We start from the raw sequence: 24,261 nt of genomic DNA, 5'->3' as shown, positions 1-24,261 counted from the left end.
CAGAAACTCTAAGCTCTGGCTCCAGGATTTTTCTCCCAAGGCTCACTCGAGTTTCTTTACAATGCTTCATGTATGTCCCTTCCTAGACACTGGACTCAGCTACGCTCGTGAACCTTGTCAACAAGTGCTCCAAGTCACCAACCTTTTGAAAACATTCCAAATATGCACTAAGATATATAGTTCTTATTCCATTTTTAAAATGACAGAATAAGGTTCATAATCAATCATTTGCAAAATTAAGCAGAAAGGCGATCACTAGTAAGCGTTGCCGAATTTGGCAATTTGGTTTACTAACATAGAGTGGGTAAACAAAATCTGCTAGCATTTTGGCCGATTTCCTTCCAGTCTTTTTTCTGTGTATTTTTCATATTAATGTATGAAATAAACATTCTGGAGTTGGAAGGAAGAAGCAAGCAGGACTGCAGGGAGTGCACACATTCCTTGGGAGCTGAGTCCTTCCCATCACCACGCTCTAAGGTCACAACGCTGGAGCGACCCCTCAGACTTTTGCTGAAACAGCTCAGAACAGGGATGAGGACAGTCCCCCATCAGCACTGCACCACCTTACACAGCACCCTGCTGGGGAAGTGAAGAGCAGTGTGGGGCCAGCTGGCTTTCAAAGTTAGCACCGTGGTTACCGGCACTTTATCCTGTCTGGACCAGGTCCCACCACATCACACCCCAACCCCTATCTTTCCGGTCAAAAGAACACATCAGCCAGGCTGCAGTTAAGCAACAACTGACTTGACCTTTTTTCTGTTCACTGAAGGCACACGTAATGGTCAATAAGTCCTTCGGAATCAACATGAGCAACATGAGAAAAATCTGGCAAAACCAAACAATGCTTTGATGTTTTCATTAATTTGCATGGACTTATGGAGGCAGCTCCATTCCCTCTCCCCATGACTGCCAGTTTCTGGTTAGGCCTTCTGAAATCCTGAAAATGCCTCACAGGCCTGCATTCCAAGGTCACAAACCCCTAGGATTCCAAAGACTCCAGGAGAGGCAAAAACCTAGAGCACATGAAAATCAAAACCTGAAAACACTGTACCCAGATTGATTAATATCCTGAAATACACAAAATTCCTTCTAAGGAGTTTTTATAAGTACCACCTAAAATTGAAGAAAACAGGGACATTTTGCTGTTGACTTTTTCTGTGTGCCAACTGCCCATAAAAATTCCTCTCCTGTTTTGCAAGGACAGAACTCTCAAGAACAAATGACCTAATTAAACCTGAGATTTCCTGGCTGAGAGCTATGTATAAAGCTGAAATGCACTGAAATGATGCTGAATTTGAAAAGAGCTCTATGCCAAACTGATTCGGTTTGCCTTTTTTATTCTACATACCCAGTGCTGGAGCTAAAAAACACGAGATTGATAGATATCCTTAACTACTATTATTTATGAAGCAACCAGAATGCGTATTTCCCCACTTATCTACTGCACATTTTTCAAAATGTGATTATACCACACTACAAATGCATCTTTTTGGCACATTTCATTGGTCTGCCTTTGCTACTGGGTTGTTGCCAGTGCAGTACAATAACGTGGATCTGCTGTCTCTCATCCTAGCTTTCAGAAACGTGTAAAGTTATCTCATACTCTCCTTGGGCTCTAGACTCCCACCCCCACTGATTTGCACAGATGTTCAAGGAGAAAGAATTCTTTCTTCCTTTAAACGAATGTCAAGGGCCTGGCAAAATCCTGTACTAAGAAATGCAGAAGTCAGCACTCTTGAAAAGCTGGTTATTAGCTCACTTCCTTCTCTCTCCAGCTTCTCCACTTCCAAAAAATAAATATGAAAACTATAACACTTGCCCAAGGTCTAAAAGAAACCAGGAAGCGGGCAGGTTAAGGGCTAACAGGTAACTTTTCTCTGCTTCTGTCTGTTGAATGTTAAGGAACTGTTCGTTTCATAGCCGAGCATTTTAAGGGTGCTATGCTAGAGGCAGCTCTGTGATTTTCATTCTTTGGCTACAACCCCTGGGGAGGTGAGGTCATGAGGAAATTCCAAGGGGGTCAAGGAGACCAGAAACCTAGCTGGTCACATAACTGCTCAGTGGCACTGCCGGAGACCAGCCCCAGCCCCCGTGCCAACCCCCATGACGCCCTATTTTCAGAGCCTTGCTGATCCTGCCAGTTTCTCCTGCCTTCCAAGCACTCTGGGCCGACAGCCACCGAGACATCCCTGAGCAGCAGAAATGAAATCAGTCACCACACCCTGGTGTCCGCAGGACTCCCACTGAGAAAAGTCTCATTCACGGCTAATCAGAACTAGAATTCTCATACTTTTCCCCACCCCGCCCAACAAACAGCAGAGCACAGATAAAGAACGGCCGGATTTCCATGGCCCTGCATTATCGGTGACATCTTCTCTTTGTTACCATCCAGAAGAGAACTGCTGCACTGACAGGAGGCAGGCAGACACCCCCAGAGCGCCACAACACCTGCAGCCAGAGACCTAATGCAAAACAAAACCAAACCTCAGGCTGAATGTGATTTTCTGTGTGATAGGGAAGAAAATGAGATAGAGAAATGTGACCGAGCGCGTGTGCAGATACGTTCAGGGGCACAAGTCTGAATGGTCAACTCAAAAATGTCATTCACACTCTCAGACGAGTTCAGAGGCTACCTCATTGGTGGGGAGGAGGACTTTAAGCAAATCATATAAATTAGACTAATCTGTGAATATCTGACTGAATCTGCACCCTTAGAAAATAAAAATTTTGCATATTTTTTAACAATGTAGCTCTGGTATGATTACTGCTATTACAGTAAATTTTTAAATCATGTTATGTTATACCTTGGTAAAATAAAATGGACTTCCAGTTGAACATGGCAGATTAACCACATGCCTGTATCAACACCAAAAATCCTACAAAAATGCCAGTAAATATACTTTAAGAGGACTATAGCAGCAGGAACAAGAGCAGATAAAACATTCTACTGACTTTTGGGTGACAGAAAGCAAGAGAGAGGTCTGTGATGATTTGTATCATAAGTGATGCTCAGAGAATTCCAACAAAATAGTCCAAAGCCCAGGAGGCTCATGCTGAATGGGAGGGGGAAGGGCGTGGGAAACAAGAGGGTGTAAGTCACTATACGAAGAGGCTAGACCTTTGCACCCAGGGACCCTCTCCCACCTACCCAAACCCCAAAGAAGTTTATTACCCAAGGACATTGAACCAGGAAAATTAGAAACTCACATACGCCAGGCACAATGACGAAGAGGGTGTGTGTAATTCAGGGCTGAAAATGAGGCACGAGGTGTTGGGAATTGAGGAAGAATCAGTCTACTTACTGTACCAGGAAACCTCCACAGTCCCCTTCTTCCATCCTGCTTCCAGAATAGCTTATCCAGGTTTATTCCAGGCAGGGCTGGTAGAATTATTCTCAGGACCATCTCAATGAGCACATATACTGATATTTGAGGATTTCCTTTGACAAAAATGACCAGTTGCTGCTTCATCATTTTAAAGAAAAATCAACAATTGACAAGCCCCATCCATGTGCACAAAAATTCCAACCTGATTTTAAGTGCCTTGGATCAGCCAAAGATCAGTACGCATTCAAGAAAAGCCTGCAAAATGAAAGTCACATCCAAAACAAAGAAGAGGAAAAAAACCTTCTAAAAACATGTAGATGGCCGGGCGCGGTGGCTCACACCTGTAATTCCAGCACTTTGGGAGGCCGAGGTGGGCAGATCACTTGAGATCAGGAGTTCGAGACCAGCCTGACCAACATGGTAAAACCCTGTCTCTACTAAAAATACAATGATTAGACCAGGTGCGGTGGCTCACACCTGTAATCCCAGCATTTTGGGAGGCTGAGGTGGGCAGATCACAAGGTCAGGAGATAGAGACCATCCTGGCTAACACGGTGAAACCCCATCTCTACTAAAAATACAAAAAATTAGCCGGGCGTGGTGGCACACACCTGTAGTCCCAGCTACTCAGGAGGTCGAGGCAGGAGAATTGCTTGAACCCGGGAGGTGGAGGCTGCAGTGAGCCGAGATCGCGCCATTGCACTCCAGCCTGGGTGACAGAGCAAGACTCTGTCTCAACAAATAAACAAACAAACAAAAATTAGCCAGGCATGGTGGCGCATGCCTGTAATCCTAGCTGCTTGGGAGGCTGAGGTGGGAAGATTGCTTGAACACGGGAGGCAGAGGTTGCAATGATCTGAGATCGCGCCACTGCACTCCAGCCTGGGTGACAGAGTAAGACTCTGTATCAAAAACAAAAAAAATGCAGACATTCTAGGGAGCAGAAGAAAATGTTTTAAAATCTAGACTATTCCCCAAGAGAATAAGAATCTCTTCCAAAATACAAGAAGAGTTGCTATGGAAAAAAGGCCAATAGCTCCCCAAAATTGATAATATGGATAATTGAAAGTTTTATTTCTATATTAGTTTATAAAGATTAATTTGAAGAGATCTCATAGAAAGTAAGGCAAAACATAACTACATGGAAAATTTTAAAGGTAGGAAAGTAGAGAATCTTCCTAAAGCCCTAATAATCAAATAATATGAAGTTTTTTTAGAAGAATTTTTTTTTGAAAACTTAGGAAATATCTCAGACTGATGGACAATGGTCTCCAGACTAAATGGAGAAAGCAAAATACCCAGCATAATTTTAAAAGGATCTACACCGAAGTACATGACAGAAGTTGTGACACTTTAAAATCTTAAGATTCTAAAATGTTCCAGGGAGAAAAAGAAAAAATTAAATCATATCCAAAATATGTTAGAAGACAACGGAGCAATGTCTTCAAAATTTCAAGGATAGTAGTTTCCATTTTTAACTCTGTATGTAGTAAAATTATCAAGGAAATCTAAGCATGCCTTAAAGTTTCTTGTTGTTGTTCTTTCAAGAGACGAGACAAGGTCTTGCCCTGTTTCCCAGGCTGGTCTTGAACTCCTGGCCTCAAGCAATCCTCCCACCTCAGCCTTCCAAGTAGCTGGAATTACAAGCATGCACCACTGCATCCAGCAAAGATATTTTCACATGTTAAAGATTCAAAAGAAATGTAGCTTCTTTACCTTTCTGAGAAAGCTACGGGTGTATGTGTTCTACCAAAACAATGCAGTAAATCATGAAATGAGATGATACGGAATCCAGAAAAGAGCGTGTCCAAGAAAGAAGAAGGGTAAAGGAAAGCCCCTGAATGATGGTTGTGAACTACGCCTAGAGTACAACCCATTCAGATAGAAGCTGAAGGATGGGGGTGCTACAGAAGGTGAAGCACCAGGAAAAAGGATGATGGGGGAACTGAATGGCTATATATGGCTTAGAGATCAGTACAAATTAGTTGAAAGAAAACTGATAGGTCGGTTCAAGTTATTAGCAATGGATACGTAGAAAAATCAAACAAATTTTAAAAAATGAATTATCTTAACAACAAAAAAAAACAGTTTTTGAAGAAAACTATCATAGGGCATTATCTGGCTCAGCAGTGAACAAGTCCACACAGTCATAATGATATACACACCAACATTGAGTTAAACAAAGACTGCACTGCAAACCACATTGGGTGAGTCCAGCGGGGGTTGAGAGCTGATCCCCCCTGCCCACAGCAGGAAGTACAGGACACCTGAACATTTCAACTACTTCTTAAACAGCCTCTCAGCTCAAGATCCTGTTTTCTGATCTTCTAACAAATCCACAAGGTCTCAAAGCATTTATCACTCCAATCACTTTGGGAAGGGCTCTACCAGAATGAAGGGGGAAAAAAAACACAGAAATCAGAAGATAAGCTCCAGGAAACAAATTTCAAGAAAGAGAAGCAAAGGGGATCATCAGGGTCATGGGGAGATCCCTGAAGCTGTCCAGGACAAAGATCCTACATCAGGTGATAGAGGCAAGGGGAACCCCCCCAGTAGATTACAGTAGGGGAGACCCCAGGACGCTGACCAGGCCAGTGAGAAACCTGGCCCAGTCTGAAGACTTCTGGACAAGGATCTCTCAAGGATGAAACAGGATATCTAATGATCTGATTAATCTGAAGAGACTAAAAGTCGATTTAGACAACAGGTGAGAGTTTCAGAATTAATTAGATACATATGTGGAAAATGAAGCAAAGGAAAAGCAAGATAACCATTGACTCCACAGGAAACAAAACTCAGCGATAAAGGAAAATTAGTTATGGTATATACATGAGCCACAAAGCTTATGATGCAGTTTAGCTGTCAATAGTGATAGTAGAGTCTATTACAACAGCATGGCACCAAAACTTTTTTATTTATTTATTTTATTTTTTTTTTTTGAGATGGAGTCTCACTCTGTCACCCAGGCTGGAGTGCAGTGGCACGATCTTGGCTCACTGCAAGCTCCACCTCCCGGGTTCACACCATTCTCCCACCTCAGCCTCCCAAGTAGCTGGGACTACAGGCACCCGCCACCACGCCTGGCTAATTTTTTCTATTTTTAGTAGAGACGGGGTTTCACCGTGTTAGCCAGGATGGTCTCGATCTCCTGACCTCGTGATCCACCCACCTCGGCCTCCCAAAGTGCTGGGATTACAGGCGTGAGCCACCGCACCCGGCCAGCATGGCACCAAATCTAATCTATTGGAAGGCTCTTTATTCGTGTATAGCTGTGCATCATTACTACTGATTATTATTAGAAAAATAAAATTAGATCCCAATATTACTTGAGTCAATGTAGACTTTTTTAAATGAATCATAAAGTTCTAGAAGACAACATAAGATTTTTTAAAACTGTTTGCGGCCAGGCGCAGTGGCTCATGCTTGTAATCCTAGCACTTTGGGAGGCTGAGGCGGGCGGATCATTTGAGGTCAGAAGTTCGCGACCAGCCTGGCCAACATGGTGAAACCCTAGCTCTACTAAAAATACAAAAATTAGCTGGGCGTGGTGGTCGACACCTATAATCTCAGCTACAAGGGAAGCTGAGGCAGGAGAATCACTTGAACCAGGGAGGCAGAGGCTGCATTGAGCTGAGATCGCGCCACTGCACTCCAGCCTGGGTGACAGAGTGAGAGTGAGACTGTTTCCAAAAAAAAAAAAAAAAAGTAAAACTGTTCTCAAATTGCAGATCTCTCTAAGCATGACCTAAATGCTACATGCCATAAGGGAAAAAAACTAAAAAAGTGCAAAGCCAAAAGCAAACTAGGAAAAAGTACTTGAATTACATATTATAAAGGGCTGATTTTCTCCATATACAAAGGAACGCCTATAAATCAATTAAGAATTCTCCATATATAAAGGAAGTCCTATAAATCAATAAGAAAAATATTTGCAACCTCCTAGAAAATTGGCCAAGGGACAGGAACAGGGAGTAGAAGGATGGTCAAGAAAATACCAATGGCTTGTCGAGTTGTCAACGTTTGAAAATGTATTCAACCACAACGAGTAGTAAGAAAAGTGCAAAATGACAATTAAGAAAAACTGGACCGGGTGTGGTGGCACATGCCTGTAATCCCAGAACTTTGGGAGGCCGAGGCAGGCAGATTGCCTGAGCCCAAAAGTTCAAGATCAGCCTGGGACACATGGCAAAACCCAATTTCTACTAAAAATACAAAAAAATTAAGTCAGGTGTGGTAGTGCACGCCTATAGTCTCAGCTTCTTAGGAGGCTGAGGTAGGACGATCCCTTGAGCCCAGGGAGGTCAAGTCTGCAGTGAACCATGATCACGACACTGCACTTCAGCCACAGTGACAGAACGAGACCCTGTTTCAAAAAAAAAAAAAAAAGAAAGAAAAACTGGCATCTCACTGATCAGATTAGGACAGGTGAAAATATTTGCCATCACTGTAGGTTTCCGGTTTGGGAAAAACAGCCTCAACACAGTGATTAAGAGCCAACAGCAGATCCAGATTGTGTGGGTTCAAATCTCTGCTCTGCTACTTGAGGTGAACCTTGGGCAAGTTACTTCATCTCTCCTGCCTCAGTTTCCTCATCAGCAAAACTGTGATAATAATAATACCTCTCCCCTACAGGTAGCTTTGGGGATTAAACAAGTTAATATTTGTAAAACATTTGATATAGTTTCTAGCACAAAGTAAGCACTATATGCAAGTTCATAAAACGAATGAACGGTTATAAGGTTGTAAGCCATGGAGGGCAATATGGCAATATCTATGTATATTAAAAACAAATACAGCCTTTGACCACTGATCCTACTAGGATTTTATACTTCAGGTATCACCCATCTTCAGTGTGGTGTCATTTAGACCAGCAAAATATTCAGAACAACCTAGATGTCTATTGACAGGGAAAATTTTACAGATTATTTAATGGTACCCTCTGTTTATATGCCGATAAAAAGAATGAGGCCAATCTGTATGTACTAATATGAAACCATCTTCGGAGTGTATTAAACTGAAGAGAACAAGCACAACACCATATTTAGGGTATGCTACTATTCATGCTAAATGTCTATGCATAAAAGACTTCTGGGCTGGGCGCAGTGGCTCACACCTGTAATCCCAGCACTTTGGGAGGCCAAGGCAGGTGGATCACCTGAGATCAGGAGGTCGAGACGAGCCTGGCCAACATGGCAAAACCCCACCTCTACTAAAAATACAAAAAAATTAGCCAGGCGTGGTGGTGTGCACCTGTAATCTCAGCTACTCTGGAGGCTGAGGCAGTAGAATTGCTTGAACCTGGGAAGCAGAGGTTTCAGTGACCCGAGATCGCACCACTGTACTCCAGCCTGCATGACAGAGTGAGACAAAAAAAAAAAAAAAAAAAAAAAAAAAAAAAAACCCCTTCTGGAAGGGTTTTTTTTTTTTTTTTAATGATGAGAGATTATCATATTAAGGTCTTACCAGGTTTGTTTTAATGGGAAAAAATTACTAATGATGCTGAAGTGTTGGGAAAAGTCTTTTTTAAATAGAGTAAACTTTCCCCTGTAAATTTTCATTATTTGTGTAACAAACTTTTTCCCACGGCCTTCTGTTAAAACAAACTTTAGACTGACAAAGGGTCAACTGTCCTGAACTCTGAATTGGTGGGGTTTAAAAATCAATGCATGTCCACCTTTGGGCACAGAGGAGCACTCACAATATCTTCAATAGTTACAATCTGCCTCAAAACACTGACATTTCTCCTCAAAAACTGTTTCATTTCTTTTAATATCAGCATAACATGCCAAGTTACAGTATGATTTTAAATTACTTAAAGGATAAAGAAGAATGAGACCAACGAAGCAATCATCACATCATTCACTTTGGACAATTTTTTTTTTTTTTTTTTTTTTTTGAGACAGAGTCTGGCTTTGTCACCCAGGCTGGAGTGCAATGGCTCAATCTCGGCTCACTGCAACCTCCACCTCCCAGGTTCAAGTGATTCTCTTGCCTCAGCCTCCAGAGTAGCTGGGATTACAGGTGTGTACCACCACACTCAGCTAATTTTTGTATTTTTAGTAAAGACAGGGTTTTGCCATGCTGCCCAGGCTGGTCTTGAACTCCCGACCTCAAGTGATCCACCCACCTCGGCTTCCCAAAGGGCTGGGATTACAGTCATGCACCAACACGCTCAGCTAATTTTTGTATTTTTAGTAGGGATGGGATTTCACCGTGTTGGCCAGGCTGGTCTCGAACTCCTGACCTCAAGTGATCCACCCGCCTCGGCCTCCCAAAGTGCTGGGTTTATAGGTGTGAGCCACTGCGGCCGACCCACTTGGGACAATTCTAACTGACAAACCTCTCAACCTGCCAGACCATGGCTCTATTTTGGAGATCTTCCCCTTTCACACATATTTACACATTAGATGGTGGAGGAGGAAGCCAGAACAACAATGAAGAATGCTATGTAATTCCTAAAACAATTAAGAATATCAGCTTGTTTTGTATTAAACAAAAATCTAAGTTCTCTGAAAGACACCTCTCATTGGGTTCACAGCAGTAGGTAAAGATGCATACAAATGAAGGCCACAGATGTGTTGCTTTGTTGTTTAATCAAATACAAATCAAAAGAATCTTAAGCCAAGGGATTCAATTAGAAAGAATTAAAAGGCTTTTGAGCATAAACCTACCAAGAGCAACCCAGACTCTCTGACTCTTTCAAACTAGAACTAAAATGTCCTAGTTTCAGACTAGAACTAAAATGTCCTTTCCCACATTCTCAAGAGTTCCTGAAATGCTGCCCTGTGGCTGTCAGGTAAACAGTCCAGATGTTCCGTCACCCGCCATATGGTGAAAACAAACGCCACGCCCCCAAAACGGACCAAGGTGGCCCGCAAATTAACAAATGGAGGCAAACTATCCATATGCCAATTTCCTGGGCCTTTCTGTCCTTCGTTTCCTGCACAATCTTACATGCTATTAGGTAAACTCTTCATTAAAAGTAAGGCATTCACAGGACTTAGTGCCAACAGGATTATTCATGGAGGTACAGTCAAGCAATCCAGCAATTAGAATTAAGCTAAAGAAGGATAATCTTGAAGTGTTTAGAAAAGGTCATGCTGGCCGGGTGCAGTGGCTCATGCCTGTAATCCCAGCACTTTGGGAGGCTGAGGCGGGCGGATAACCTGAGGTCAGGAGTTCAAGACCAGCCTGGCCAACATGGTGAAACCTCGTCTCTATTAAAAATACAAAAATTAGCTGGGCGTGGTGGCGGGTGCCTGTCATCCCAGCTACTGGGGAGGCTGAGGCAGGAGAATCACTTGAATCTAGGAGGCAGAGGTTGCAGTGAGCTGAGATCGCGCCACTGCACTCCAGCCTGGGCGACAAGAGCGAAACTCCGTCTCAAAAAAAAAAAAGAAAAGGCCATGCTAAGTTTAATTTATAAGCCACCACTGGATGATACCATACTACCAAGTAAGTATTTTTGATTGCTGGAACCTGGGAGGCAGAGGTTGCAGTGAGTCTAGATCACGCCACTGCACTCCAGCCCGGGTGACAGAGTGAGATCCCATCTCAAAAAAAAAAAACACCAACAAATAAGGATTTGATTTGATTTTCCTAAATGGCTATTTGGGATTTGAAGGGGAGGGGCAATTTTTTGTTTTTAATTTTTAACTTTTATTTTAGGTTCAGGGTACACGTGCAGGTTTGTTATATAGGTAAACTCATGTCACAGGGGTTTAACAGAAGGTACTAAGCCTAGTACCCAACAGTTACTTTTCCTGCTCCTCCCCCTCCTGCCACCCTTCTCCAAGTAGGCCCCAGTGTCTGTTGTTCCCCTCTGTGTGTCCATCAGTTCTCTTCATTTAGCGCCCACTTATAAGTGACAACATGCGGTATTTGCTTTTCTGTTCCTGCGTTAGTTTGCTAAGGACAATGGCTTCCAGTTCCATCTATGTTCCTGCAAAGATGATTTTGTTCTTTTTTATGGTTGCATAGTATTCCGTGGTATATATGTACCACATTTTATTTATTCAATCTGTCATTGATGGGAATTTAGGTTGCTTCCATGTGTTTTCTATTGTGAATGGTGCTGCAATGAACATTCACGTGCCTATGTCCTTATGGTAGAATGACTTATATTTTGGGGGGTATATATCCAGTAATGAGATTGCTCAGTTGAATGGTAGTTCTGTTTTTTGCTCTCTGAGAAATCGCCACACTGCTTTCCACAACGGTTGAACTAATTTACACTCTCACGAACAGTGCATAGGCATTCCTTATTCTCCGCAACCTCGCCAGCAACCTAAATGGGTATTTGTTTTTAAGATCTTGTAGCTCCTGACTTGCAAGGCGCCTCAGCCACTCCTAGAACATTGTTAGAGCATCTCTAACTTTACCAGAGACTAACAGGCCTGGACATGAGAGAGACAGAAACAATCTAGAAGTCAAAGGTAGATGAAGGGTAAAGTAGATAAATAGTGTCTGAAGACTAAGATCATAAATAAATGTATATCTGCCACCCATTTGTGACTATAAGTTCAAGGCTTTTACAGACCATGGGGGCCAAACAGCTGGTGAGGTCAGCCCAGGTTTGAGAGGTTCAAGGTAAGTTTATCCAGAAACCCCAAGAGGGGTTTCTTCAACAAAGATTTAATGAGCACCTACTACAGGCCATGCCCCGAGCTAGGAATAGCGGCACAAACGCAAACAAAATAAGCCAGAATTGTTGGTACACAAGGAAAAGATTCTCTTCTGCACATCGATGAGAAGGCAAACCTTGTCAGTTCTTGCCTACCCACCACCTTAGAAATCTGTCCTATGCCACTTAGAAACTCCACACTTGTACGCAGGCATGGCACACAGGAGTATTAACTGATTCATCTCACTTTAGGTGTCTCCCCTGACACTTAAGACTTTTCTGGAAACATTCCCGCTACAGTTCTATTTTCTAACCCATGAAGAACACTTTTAATAGAAAGTGAATCCCAAACCCCCTCCTCCAAGTGCCAGTGAGAAAAAAGTCAAATGATAAAAGAAAGAGACAGGAAGAGCCAGGCACAGTGGCTGGCCTGTAATCCCAGCACTTTGGGAGGCTAAGAGGAGAGGACTGCTTGAGGTCATTTTGAGACCAGCCTGGGGAAGATAGCAAGACTTCTGTCTCTACAAAAAAATTCCAAAAATTAGCCAGAAGTGGCAGACCACATCTGTAGTCCCAGCTACTTAAGAGGCTGAGGTGGGTGGATCACTTGGGCCTAGGAGGTTGAGGCTGCAGTGAGCTAAGATCACACCACTGCACTCCAGTCCTGGTGACAGAATGAGACCCTGCCTCGAAAGAAAGGGAGAAAGAAAGAAGGAAGGAACGATGGAGGGAGGGAGGGAAGGAAAGAAAGAGAGAAAAAGAGAGACAAGAAGGTAGGGACTTCATAGTCCCCAAAGCCTTCTATACACATTCTGGGAAATCGCCACACAATATAGTCAAGGGCTTGAAAGACATCTGGGAACCCCCTTCCCATCATGTGAACTCAGCCACATTCCTCAGAGAAAGGTCAACAGGAAATGACCTCAAGAGACCTTTGACCTCAATCATGTTGACTTAAAGACTACTGAAGCTGCCGAGCATGGTGGCTCATGCCTGTAATCCCAGCACTTTGGAAGGCCGAGGCGGGCGGATCTTTTGAGGTCAGGAGATCGAGACCAGCCTTGCTAACATGGTGAAACCCCGTCTCTACTAAAAATACAAAAAATTAGCCGGGCATGGTGGTGCGCGCCTGTAATCCCAGCTACTCGGGAGGCTGAGGCAGGAGAATCGCTTGAACCCAGGAGATGGAGGTTGCAGTGAGCTGAGATCACACCATTGCACTCTGGCTTGGGCAACAAGAGCAAAGCTCCATCTCAAAAAAAAAAAAAAAAATTACTGAAGCAAGATAATGGAGGGGAAAGAAATTCACAAAACGTATGTATAATATATTACCAATTTGAAAAAAATAGAGCGTTCTTAAAAATGTAAAAAGGAAACTGTGGGATGTTGATGGTAGGGAAGGTTCAGCAGGAGGGCATAGGGGAATTCTAACTTCTGTTCCATTTTGCTGAGAACCTAAAACTGCTATGAATAATAAAGTCCATCAAGAAAACAAAATAAGGCAAATATAAGCCAGGCGCGGTGGCTCACTCCTGTACTCCCGGCACTTTGGGAGGTTAAGCGGGTGGATCACCTGAGGTCAGGAGTTCGAGACCAGCCTGGCCAACATGGCAAAACCCTATCTCTACTAAAAATACAAAAAACAAAAACAAAAAAAATTAGCCAGGCATGGTAGTGTGAGCCTATAATCCCAGCTACTCAGGAGGCTGAGGCAGGAGAATCACTTGAACCGGGAAGTGGAGGTTGCAGTGAGCCGAGATGGCACCACTGCACTCTAGCCTAGGCAACAGAGCAAGACTCAGTCTCAAAAAAAAAATTTAAATTAAAAAAATTTTTAAAAATAAGGCAAATATGACAAAAGCAATCTGTGTGTGCTGGAGTGGTAGTCGTTAACAACAGGTGTCTGTGTGTATGTATTCTGCCTACTTTTCTTCACTTTCCATGTTTCTACAATGACCTTATTTTTGCAATTAACAAAAAGAAACGAGAAAAAAAGCTTTTAAAGAAACGAGGCTATTTTTAAATTTTTTTTAAAGCCTCAGTGAAACACAGCCCATTCTCATGTGAAATACATTAGGCTATCCTTACGATCTGTGTAGGATGGCTGGTCTACCCAAGTCATCCAGTAGCAATGCAAGGAAAGGGGATAGCCACTCCCCAGCACCAGGCAGCCCAGGCCCCACCATCACGCCTACAGCACACACCTGCCAGAGTGCTGGCATATCCACTCAAAGGAGGCTTCATTTCTCAGTTCCTTTATGATGTGACTTCAATTTAAAGATTTAACTTCTTCCCTCACCTCCATCACCAAGCTCCAAAGACATGGTTTCCTGGCCACAGTGACTCTCACAGGCTTTCACTGGACCTGGGCTTTGGTTTCTAAAAGGTGAAATGCTGCAAGCAACCTCTGGTACCAACAACTGTGTATCAGATAGGTCAGTATCTTCAAAGGTGAAGCTAAAGTACATCTTTAAGACCATGACTGACCTCCAAAAATGCCTTGAAGGAAAACAAAATTGTACTACAATGCCGAAAATGATGATGAAATCGTCTGGTGATTGACCAGATTTTCATCCTCCAACTTCACAACTGCTCATTACTTGGCACTAGGGTGAGGCCAGTGAGGCACTCACCTTGGGTGCAGAATTTAAGGGAGTGCCAAATACTCCATAATTAAGATAGTCATGTGTAATGAATATTTTTTAAAATCACAAGTAGGCTGGGCGCAGAGGCTTACAACTGTAATCCCAGCACTTTGGGAGGCCGAGGTGGGGGGATCATCTAAGGTTGGGAGTTCGAGACCAGCCTGACCAACATAGAGAAACCCCATCTCTACTAAAAATACAAAATTAGCCAGGCATGGTGGCACATGCCTGTAATCCCAGCTACCTGGGAAGTCGAGACAGGAGAATCGCTTGAACCTGGGAGGTGGAGGTTGCGGTGAGCTGAGATCACGCCATTGCACTCCAGCCTGGGCAACAAGAGCAAGACTCCATCTCAAAAAAAAAAAAAAAATCACAATTAAAAAAAATCCACAATGAACAAAGCAATAAAATTTTCAATAAAGATTGGGTCTGACCCTGATCTTGCAAGATACATCTCCTCTCACCCTCATCTGGCACACTCAGGGACACCTGTACTACAAGAAGACCCCTGACTTCACTTATTAGCTGTGTGACATTGGGCATAATACCGTATAGTCTAAGCCTCAGCTTCCTGTCAAACGAATACCTTCCTCATTGAATGGTCAAGTAAAAATCTATGCAACATGCTGAGCACAGTGCCTAGCATGATAATAGCACAAAACTGGCCGTGGGAATAGCACCCCATCAAGGAGCACGATTCCAAGGATGGGCCAGAAGGCGTCTCCTACATGCACTTTGCCATGCTTGTTCACACACTAGACTCAAGCAATTTTCAGGAAATGGGTTTTGGCAGATCACCGGGATTTCTCTACCTTGAAGATAGACTTTTCTTATTTTTCTGCTCAATCTTTAGGACTGATGAACCTTCCTGGCCCAAAATTATGCCAGGGAAAGCAAGGAATGGAGCTGGCTTTCCTAGCTCTCCAAGGAATGGAGGAGCCATCCCTGTCTAGCTCCTCCAGGTGAACAGGCAGGTGCGGCCACAAACAGCATGACGCAGACGGAAGACACAACCACCTCTGCATTTCTCAGAATTTTCTTTCCTAACAGTGAAGCACGCCATTTTTTAAACCACCAGACAGTCTCTTAGCCCCTACAGTCCTGGCTAAATTGCCTATAATCCTGAGAAAAGCAGCTGTTCCCTGTCCCTGGTCCCCTGCCAAAGGCTCTGAGCCTGACCTCAAACTCACACTTTAGGGTTTTTTTATGTGACTTTGGAGTTACTATTCTCAAATGGTACCTGGAGCCTGAGTTCATGCTTATGCTATTCTACCTCCAAAACCAAAGCATCCCACTGACCTGGACAACCTTGATCTGACAACCCTGAACTTCTGAACTACAAATAAACTCCTTGGAATAACCATCTCCCCAAGAAGACCATGTCTCACTCAAGTATCATGTGCACCTCCCTTACTTTGTTATGTGCCTTTGACACACTGGAATAAGAAAATGACCTTTGAGTAGGTGGTTTCAATAGTAGAGTAGGGACAGATTTGCAATGCATGTTCTGTAGCCAAAGTATGTCTTACATGACTTTTTATATGTGTAGCAGGCTTAGCTTAATCCACAGGGGAAAAAAATTTAAGGTTTTCCTTTTCATGCACTCCGAAAAAAATAGTTTTCTCTTCTCATTGTAAATAACATGGTTTGGTAATTACAAAAGCAATAAAAATTTGTGGGAACTTTAGAAAATACAGAGAAGTTCAAAGCAGAAAATAAAAACCACTTGGATTAATCTCATGCAAAGAAAACCGTAACATCCTTTTCTCAATGCATATATGTCATGCATAGAATTTTAAGCAAACATGCTCATCTTTTAAGCAGCAAACTAACAGTATAATCACAAAAGAAGTGGTAAGTGACCTCCCAGCCACAGGAGGATCAAGGAAGAGCAGTAACTCAGAACCTCATCCTGCAGAAGGCCAAGGGAGGCTACATTTTACAAAGAAATGTACAGAAATAATTTGTGACGATGTTTACCACTTAAGAGAGTTCATCTTAAATATTTATTGAGCACCTACTATGTTCCTGGCACTCTGCCAGGCATTAGGAATGCAGATGTGTAAAATACTTAAGTAGAAGTTGCTCTAAGTGAGGAAAAACTTCCTGAGCTTCTATCTCTGCTCTGCCAATTATAAGCTGTGTGACCTTAGGCACACTTAACCTCTCTGAACCTCCATTACCCTCTTAAGTAAAATGAGGATAAAAATCAGGGTGGTTGGGCTGTTAGAACTCAGCCTAGGACTTCAAATGTTCAGTAAATGTTAGTGCTCAAATAACCAAAATGAGTGGAGAGGAGAGTAAACACGCCAGTACAAGCACGGAGGGTCCACGCTGGCACCCGGGAGGAGACGTTAGCCTTAGGGAAGGCTTCTGGAAGGAGGTAGGCAGGGACTGGATGAATGTCAGAGCAGAGAAGGACTTGGTGGAAGGCCGGGGCAGTGGCAGATGGGAAGATGTGACAGAGGAAGGCTCTGTGGCTTGTAGGAAGTTCACCTAGACTAGCATGGGGGAGGGGGACTGATCAGGGGGAAGAGGGAAGTACAGGAGGCTGGGAAATAAAATGGGGCAAAAACACCAGGTTTCTTCCAGCCAGGCTCGTTATCAATTCCAGCAAAACAGTAACATGATCTCACACAATGATCACTTTAAAACCAAAACTTTTCTTGACTACTCCAGTCAACTCAAAGGGCACTGATTCATGCTTTCTAAAACTACTTTTACAAGTGAGCATTTTCTAAAATCTCTATAAAGAGGCGGTGATGCAGTGAGGTGATCCTTCACGTCCACTCTGCAGACATGCTAAACTCATCAATAATGTCTCTCAGCGTCCTTCCTGCATGACCCAGCAGACCTCAGATTAGGTATTTCTTATTTGGGGGTATTAATGAAGACTAGATGAGGAATTTGGTTTTTGCTATTTCAGTGACTGGCTTACCCCTTTCAGGAAAGGAAAACATAAATAAAAACATGTATACATTCTAGGCCAGGTGCAGTGGCTCATGCCTGTAATCCCAGCACTTTGGGATGCCAAGGCAGGAGGATTGCTTGAGCCCAGTTCCAGACCAGCCTGGGCAACACAGCAAAACACTGTCTCTTTAAAAAAATAAAAATTTAAATTTAAAAAACCCAGATTATAATGGGGGCCAGGTACAGTGGCTCATCCTATAACTTTGGGAGGCTGAGGCAGGAGGATCGCTTGATGCCAGGAGTTCAAGACCAGCCTGGGCAACAAAGCAAAGTCCCATTTCTACACAAAATTTAAAAATCAGCCAAGCACACTGGCTCATGCCTGTAATCCCACCACTTTGGAAAGCTGGAGTGGGAGGATCATATGAGCCAGGAGTTCAAGGCTGCAATGAGCTATGATTGTGCCACTGCACTCCAGCCTGGGTGACAGTACAAGATCTTACCTATAAAAATCAATAAATAAAGTGAAAGAAGCTGTGTGACTAAGACTTTTGCTAAAAAGAACGTTATTATAACTTAATATGTTTATCTTTGTTTTTATGCTTACACACAGTTCAGATTCAAAGCTTCATGGTTTAATAATACAAATAACAGCTACCATGTCTTAAGTCTTTTATAAATTGCCAGAGAGTATGTTTTTATACGTTATCTGTCATTCTCAAAACAAATTCCAAATGGCCAAAATTCCAAATCTTAAAAAACACTGATCACAAGGACTTTTATAATTAGTTATTTAGAATCCATGATTTGTATCATAATGGGCATTATTCAAAAGGTATTATTTTTATTTTTAAAATATGGGAGGAAACGGGGATTGAAATGAAATGACTTGCTCCAGACGACCTAACTTTTGAGTAGTAGAGCAGGGATCTGAACACAGCTACCTCAGGGTCCTGTGGCAGCCAGCTTCCAAGACAGCACTCAATGATTCTTGCCTCCTGGCAGCCACACTTTTGTGTAACTGCCTCCCCTTAAGTCATAGCTGGCAGTAGGCCCAAGAATACTGTGGAAGTGACAGTGTATAACTTCCATGGCTGGCAAGCAGCCACAGCAGGGCCAGGCGCAGTGGCTCACCCCCATAATCCCAGCACTTTGGGAGGCCGAAGCAGATGACCACTTGAGCTCAGGAGTTCAAGACCAGCCTGGGCAACACTGTGAGACTCCCGTCTCTACAAAAAATACAAAAATTAGTGAGGTGTGGTGGTGCACACCTGTAGTCTCAGCTACTTGGGAGGCTGAAGTGGAAGGCTTACTTGAGCCTGGGAGGCAGAGATTGCAATGAGCTGAGATCACACCACACTCAAGCCTGGGTGACAGAGTGAGACCCTGTCTCAAAAATAAATAAGTAAAATTAAAACTTAAAAAAACCACAGCAGTTTTGCCTTGGTTTCCTCATGGTTCACTCACTCTGGGAGAAGCTAGCCACCATGTTGTAAGGTATTCAAGCACCCCGCCTAAGGAGCTTATCGGGCTCCTTGGTAGCAGACCCCACAGTCCCAGTTGACTTTTTTTTTTTTTTTTTTTTTTTTGAGACAGAGTTTCGCTCGTTACCCAGGCTGGAGTACGATGGTGCGATCTCAGCTCACCACAACCTCTGCCTCCCGGTTCAAGCCATTCTCCTGCATCAGCCTCCCAAGTAGCTGGGATTACAGGCATGTGCCAGCACTCCCAGATAATTTTGTATTTTTAGTAGAGATGGTGTTTCTCCATGTTGGTCAGGCTGGTCTCGAACTCCCAACCTCAGGTGATCTGCCCACCTTGGCCTCCCAAAGTGCTGGGATTACAGGCGTGAGCCACCACGCCCGGCCCCAGTTGACTTTTTCAAAAAATAGAGATGGGGTCTTGCTATGCTGCTGAGGCTGGGAACTCCTGGGCTCAAGCGATCCTCTACCTTCAGCCTCCTAAGTAGCTGAGACTACAGGTATGTGCCACCATGCCCAGCTCCTAGCTGACATCTTCATCACAAACCTCCATGCCAGAATTGTTCATTGAAGCCATTTCCAAAGTCCTCACCCACAGAAACTGCAAAAGATAATCAATGTTTACCGTTGTTTCAAGCCACTCAGCTTTGGGGGTAATGTGTCATGCGGCCATAGATAATGAAGGCATGCCCTAATGCCTGCATTCTTTTCTCCACCTCCACAGGGCCTTGCAGTTGCTTCGGTAATTTTATTTTTGAATGATTATCCCTGTATATTCACATAGAGAATTAACAAAATAGTTACTGGAATTAAACCTACATGCCCCATCAGGTCTTTGAGATAATCACCTACAGGACTGACATCTTATTTATTCCCGCTGGCGCTGTTCCATTCTGGGCCTCGAGATTTTACACACAAATTGCTCTTTCCAATCCACTCCTTCAAAACGCAGGCAGCCAACAAAGCTCCTCCAGTCTTTCTCTGCCAGAGAGTCCAAGAAATTATTTAGTCACATCTTCAGGTAAGCCCTTCTTAAAGATGTTTTTCTCTATATTTTTTTGGTTAAAAAAATATATAACCATGATGAGATACCACTACACACCTGTTAAAATGGCTAAAATAAAAAATACGATACCAAGTGCTGACAAGGATTTCACTTCTAGCTATTTGTCCATGAGAAATCAAACTTCATCCATATCAAAATCTGTATGTGAGAGTTTATAGCAGCTCTATTCATAATTGCTCCAAACTGGACACAAGTCAACTGTTCTTCAATAAGTAAATGGATAAACACACTGTGGTACATCCATATGATGGAATACTAACTAGATAGCAAAAGTGAGTGAGCTGTTGGAATCACAAAGACATTAGGCTGAATGAAAGAGGCCAGTCTCAAAAGGTTACAAATGCTAAGATTCCATTTATATGACATACTGGAAAAGACCAGACTATAGTTAGTGACAGAGCAAAGACAGGTGGTTAACAGGGACTGGGGGTGCAGCACAAGGGAATGTTCTAAATTGACAGAAATGTCCCATATCCTGACTGTGGAGTTGGTTACACAAATCTATGCATTAAAACTCAAAAAAGGACAGGCATGGTGGCTCGCATCTGTAATCCCAGCACTTTGGGAGGCTGAGGCAGGCGGATCACCTAAGGTCAGGAGTTGAAACCAGCCTGGCCAACATGATGAAAGCCCGTCTCTACTAAAAATACAAAAATTCACCAGGTGTGGTGACAGGCACCTGTAATCCCAGCTACTCGAGAGGCTGAGGCAGGAGAATCACTTGAACCCGGGAGTCGGAGGTTGCAGCAAGCCAAGGTTGCACCACTGCACTCCAGCCTGAGCAACAAAGCAAGAGTCTATCTCGAAATATATATATAATATATATAAATATATATTTATACATATTTATATATAATATATATATAAATATATATTTATACATATTTTTATATAATGTATTATATATTATACATATTTATATATAATGTATTATATATTATACATATTTATATATAATGTGTTACATATTATACATATTTATATATAATGTATTATTTATTATATATTTATATATAACATATTTTATATATTTTTATATATATTATTTTATATATTATATTATTTATATATTTTATATATAAATATATTTATATATATTTTATATATATATAAAGGTTATTATTACATCACTTAACTTTTCTTCACAGATTCACTAACATGTTTGTCTCATTTAGAAAATCGCTGGTTTCCCCATATCCTGATATTTCCAAACAGCTCACTCCACTTGGATCCATCTTGGCCCCTGCTAGCACCTGATGTTAGAGAACCAAACACTCCAGTTAAGATTACAAAGGAAGATCACAAACCCCTGATTAATAAGTTCCTCACAAAGTTCCTAACAATATTAAATGTGCAGATAGATGATATTCTAGGTTGACAGAAATGGCTGGCATTTCCATCATTTTTTTCTTGAAGAAATGAAGCAATACTCTCAAGTATGTTCTGTAACCCAAACTGCCAGATGGTAGATTCCAAGCAGATGCCCTGCAAGGCCAGCTTAAAAGGACGCGAAATTCATGTAGACTCAGTTGCACGACTTGCACACATTATCAAACATCTAAAGTCCTTATAAAGAGATCATCTCTAACAGTGATTTGATATGACTTTAAGTCACTTTCCACATAATTAACAGGTAGAAATCAGTTTTCTCATAGATAATATTAAATAGCAGATGAAAGATAAAATCTCCCAATTAATATATCAGTCATGATGCTTTAGATGGCAATAACCGAAAACCCCAACTCAAGTACGACGAGAAAGTGAATTCACATATTATCTGGTATCCTAGAACAGATTAGTATTTGGCATGCTAAGCTCCAGGTGCGCAAGATCTAAATGACTCAATGATGCATTTATGGACTCTGGTTCCACTTTCAGCTCTGTCACCCTCTTGCCTGCTTCAGGTCTAGTAAAAACATGGCTGCTGTGATTCCAGGCATCACATCTAGTCTTTGGGTCTCCTTTTAAGTGCACACAAACATTCCCCAGAATCCTCTTCAAAGACCTCCCAGATGCTGGAGCCTTCTGGGAAAATTTTTGCTAAATGAGAAGCCTGTGCTGCTAGGGACCTAGTAACAACAAATGTGTGAGAGTATGAAGCTTGGAGCTGCAACTGCCATTAGGCATAATGACTAATTAGGCTGCAGCAGTCTAATTAACCATGGCCAACAAGCCCAAGTGCAAAAATCAACATGCCGAGGGGCAGCAGAGAAGGACAGAATGCATCTGTGTCCTTGATGATATTTTGGGCTGAGACATGAACTGGGAGCCCCTTTATTACTTGAAGCAACTCAGTATTTGATGGCTGAAACTGCTATTAGTCAGACATTCTGCCACTTGCAGATACATGTACTCTTAAATGTCCCCTTGAGGTTTTCGGGAAAGAGCATTGATAACTTGTCCAATGTCAAAGATGGAAGATATGGCCAGGCGTGGTGGCTCACACCTGTAATCCCAGCACTTTGGGAGGCCGAGGTGGACAGATCACCTGAAGTCAGGAGTTTGAGACTAACCTAGCCAACATGATGAAACCCCCTCTCTACTAAAAATACAAAAATTAGCCGGGCGTGGTGGCGTGCACCTGTAATCTCAGCTACTTGGGATGCTGAGGCAGGAGAATTGCTTGAACCCGGGAGGCGGAGGTTGCAGTGAACCAAGATCATGCCACTGCACTCCAGCCTGGGTGACACAGCAAGACTCCGTCTCAAAAAAAAAAAAAAAAAAAGATGGAAGATATATAAGGGCAGGTTTGTCTCGCTTCAACAACTATACTCCAAATTGTCACCTTTGATATCCTGTGCCTTCCTTACTCTAAAATGTCATAGAGAGTGTATATTTCACAAATTTCAGTTCAAATCAACCAATGTTTATCATTGATCTTCTGTGGGCAAGAAAACCAAAAATTAGAGAAACATCCTTCTTGACCTTACAATACTTGCTCTTTGGCCCAGAAACTAAGGAGAATACACCGATAAAAAGATACAATTACTACCAAAACAGAGAAACTAATGTCCCCCTCTCCAGATGGTTTACATTCCAAGACCCCCAGTGGATGCCTAAAAACCGCAGATGGCGCTGAACCCTACATACACTCTGTGTTCTCCTGTACTTACATACCTGTGGTAAACTTGAATGTATGCATTAGGCACAGTGAGATTAACAATAACCAGTAATAAAACGGAGGGACAATACACTGTAATAAAAGTTATGTGAATGTGATCTCTCAAAATATCTTAATGCACTGTACTCACCTTCTCATAATGAAGAAGGGACAGAGTGGGACGCTAAGAGATTTCATCAAGCTACTCGTAACAGCACACCGTTTAAGACCTGTGAATTGTTTATTCAGACTGTGGTTGACCGTGGGTAACTGAAACTGCAGAAAGCAAGACTGCAGAGCTGTGTATCTGCCACACTAACCTCTTTTTAGAATGTTACAACTTGCTTTTGCCCAAGGCACCCATTTTTCATTCATTTCAAAAACATTTTTTCCCATAATCCTTCTGTGTGCCAAAGAACAAACACAACTCAGTTTGGGACTTTAAATCTATTTATTTGATCATAATCTTAAACACTTTTTTGCTTATATTTTCAAATTAAGCAGGCAATTTTTTTCTTCCTCTATAGGTTTTTTCCAACTCAGTTTTAGTTAGGTAAGAACAAAAGTGTTCCATCGCCATCCAGTAAATGGAGCCTGATCTCTTGAAAGGAGCAATATGCTCCTTTTCTCTTGCCTTACAGACAAGAAATGTGCTATTCTTCCAACACTGAATATATTTCCTGACGTTAAATAAGTTCAATAACTAGACCATGTAAAATGTTTTCCTAATAACTTTTGCCTTTCAAAAGATACTTAAAAAATGAAAAGGCAAAAATAGGTTGGGTGAAAATATTCATACTATGTAGATCTTTACAAAGGATTTATACACAAAATATATAAAGAACTCCTACAACTATAAGATGACATTAAGAATGTGCAGTTTACTGTATATCAAGTATCCTAAATAAAGCTATATAAAACAATCTGAACAAAAAAATTAAAAACAGTAAAGATCTGCCGGACGCAGTGACTCAAGCCTGTAATCCCAGCACTTTGGGAAGCCGAGGCAGGTGGATCAGTTGAGGTCAGGAGTTTGAGACCAGCTTGGCCAACATGGTGAAACCCCATCTCTACCAAAAATACAAAAAATAGCATGGCGCATGCCTGTAA

The 24,261-nt window shown here is 42.3% G+C and overlaps 1 protein-coding gene across 3 annotated transcripts in view, besides 1 other annotated feature; it reads right to left on the bottom strand.

Moving 5' to 3' along the window:
* Nucleotides 1-24,261, bottom strand: part of FARP1 (FERM, ARH/RhoGEF and pleckstrin domain protein 1) — a 312,588-nt gene that overhangs the window by 280,740 nt on the left and 7,587 nt on the right. The gene's annotated exons all lie outside the window — the stretch shown is intronic.
* Nucleotides 628-922: a silencer, noted in NCBI's record as "tiled region #2492; K562 Repressive non-DNase unmatched - State 21:Repr". NCBI's record gives its function as "represses a minimal TATA promoter and a strong SV40 promoter by Sharpr-MPRA in K562 cells {active_cell/tissue: K562}" and the evidence as "EXISTENCE:reporter gene assay evidence [ECO:0000049][PMID:27701403]".

This window comes from Homo sapiens, chromosome 13, assembly GCF_000001405.40.
Source record: "Homo sapiens chromosome 13, GRCh38.p14 Primary Assembly".
Classification (NCBI taxonomy): domain Eukaryota; kingdom Metazoa; phylum Chordata; class Mammalia; order Primates; family Hominidae; genus Homo; species Homo sapiens.
This window is presented reverse-complemented; position numbering and strand designations above follow the sequence as displayed.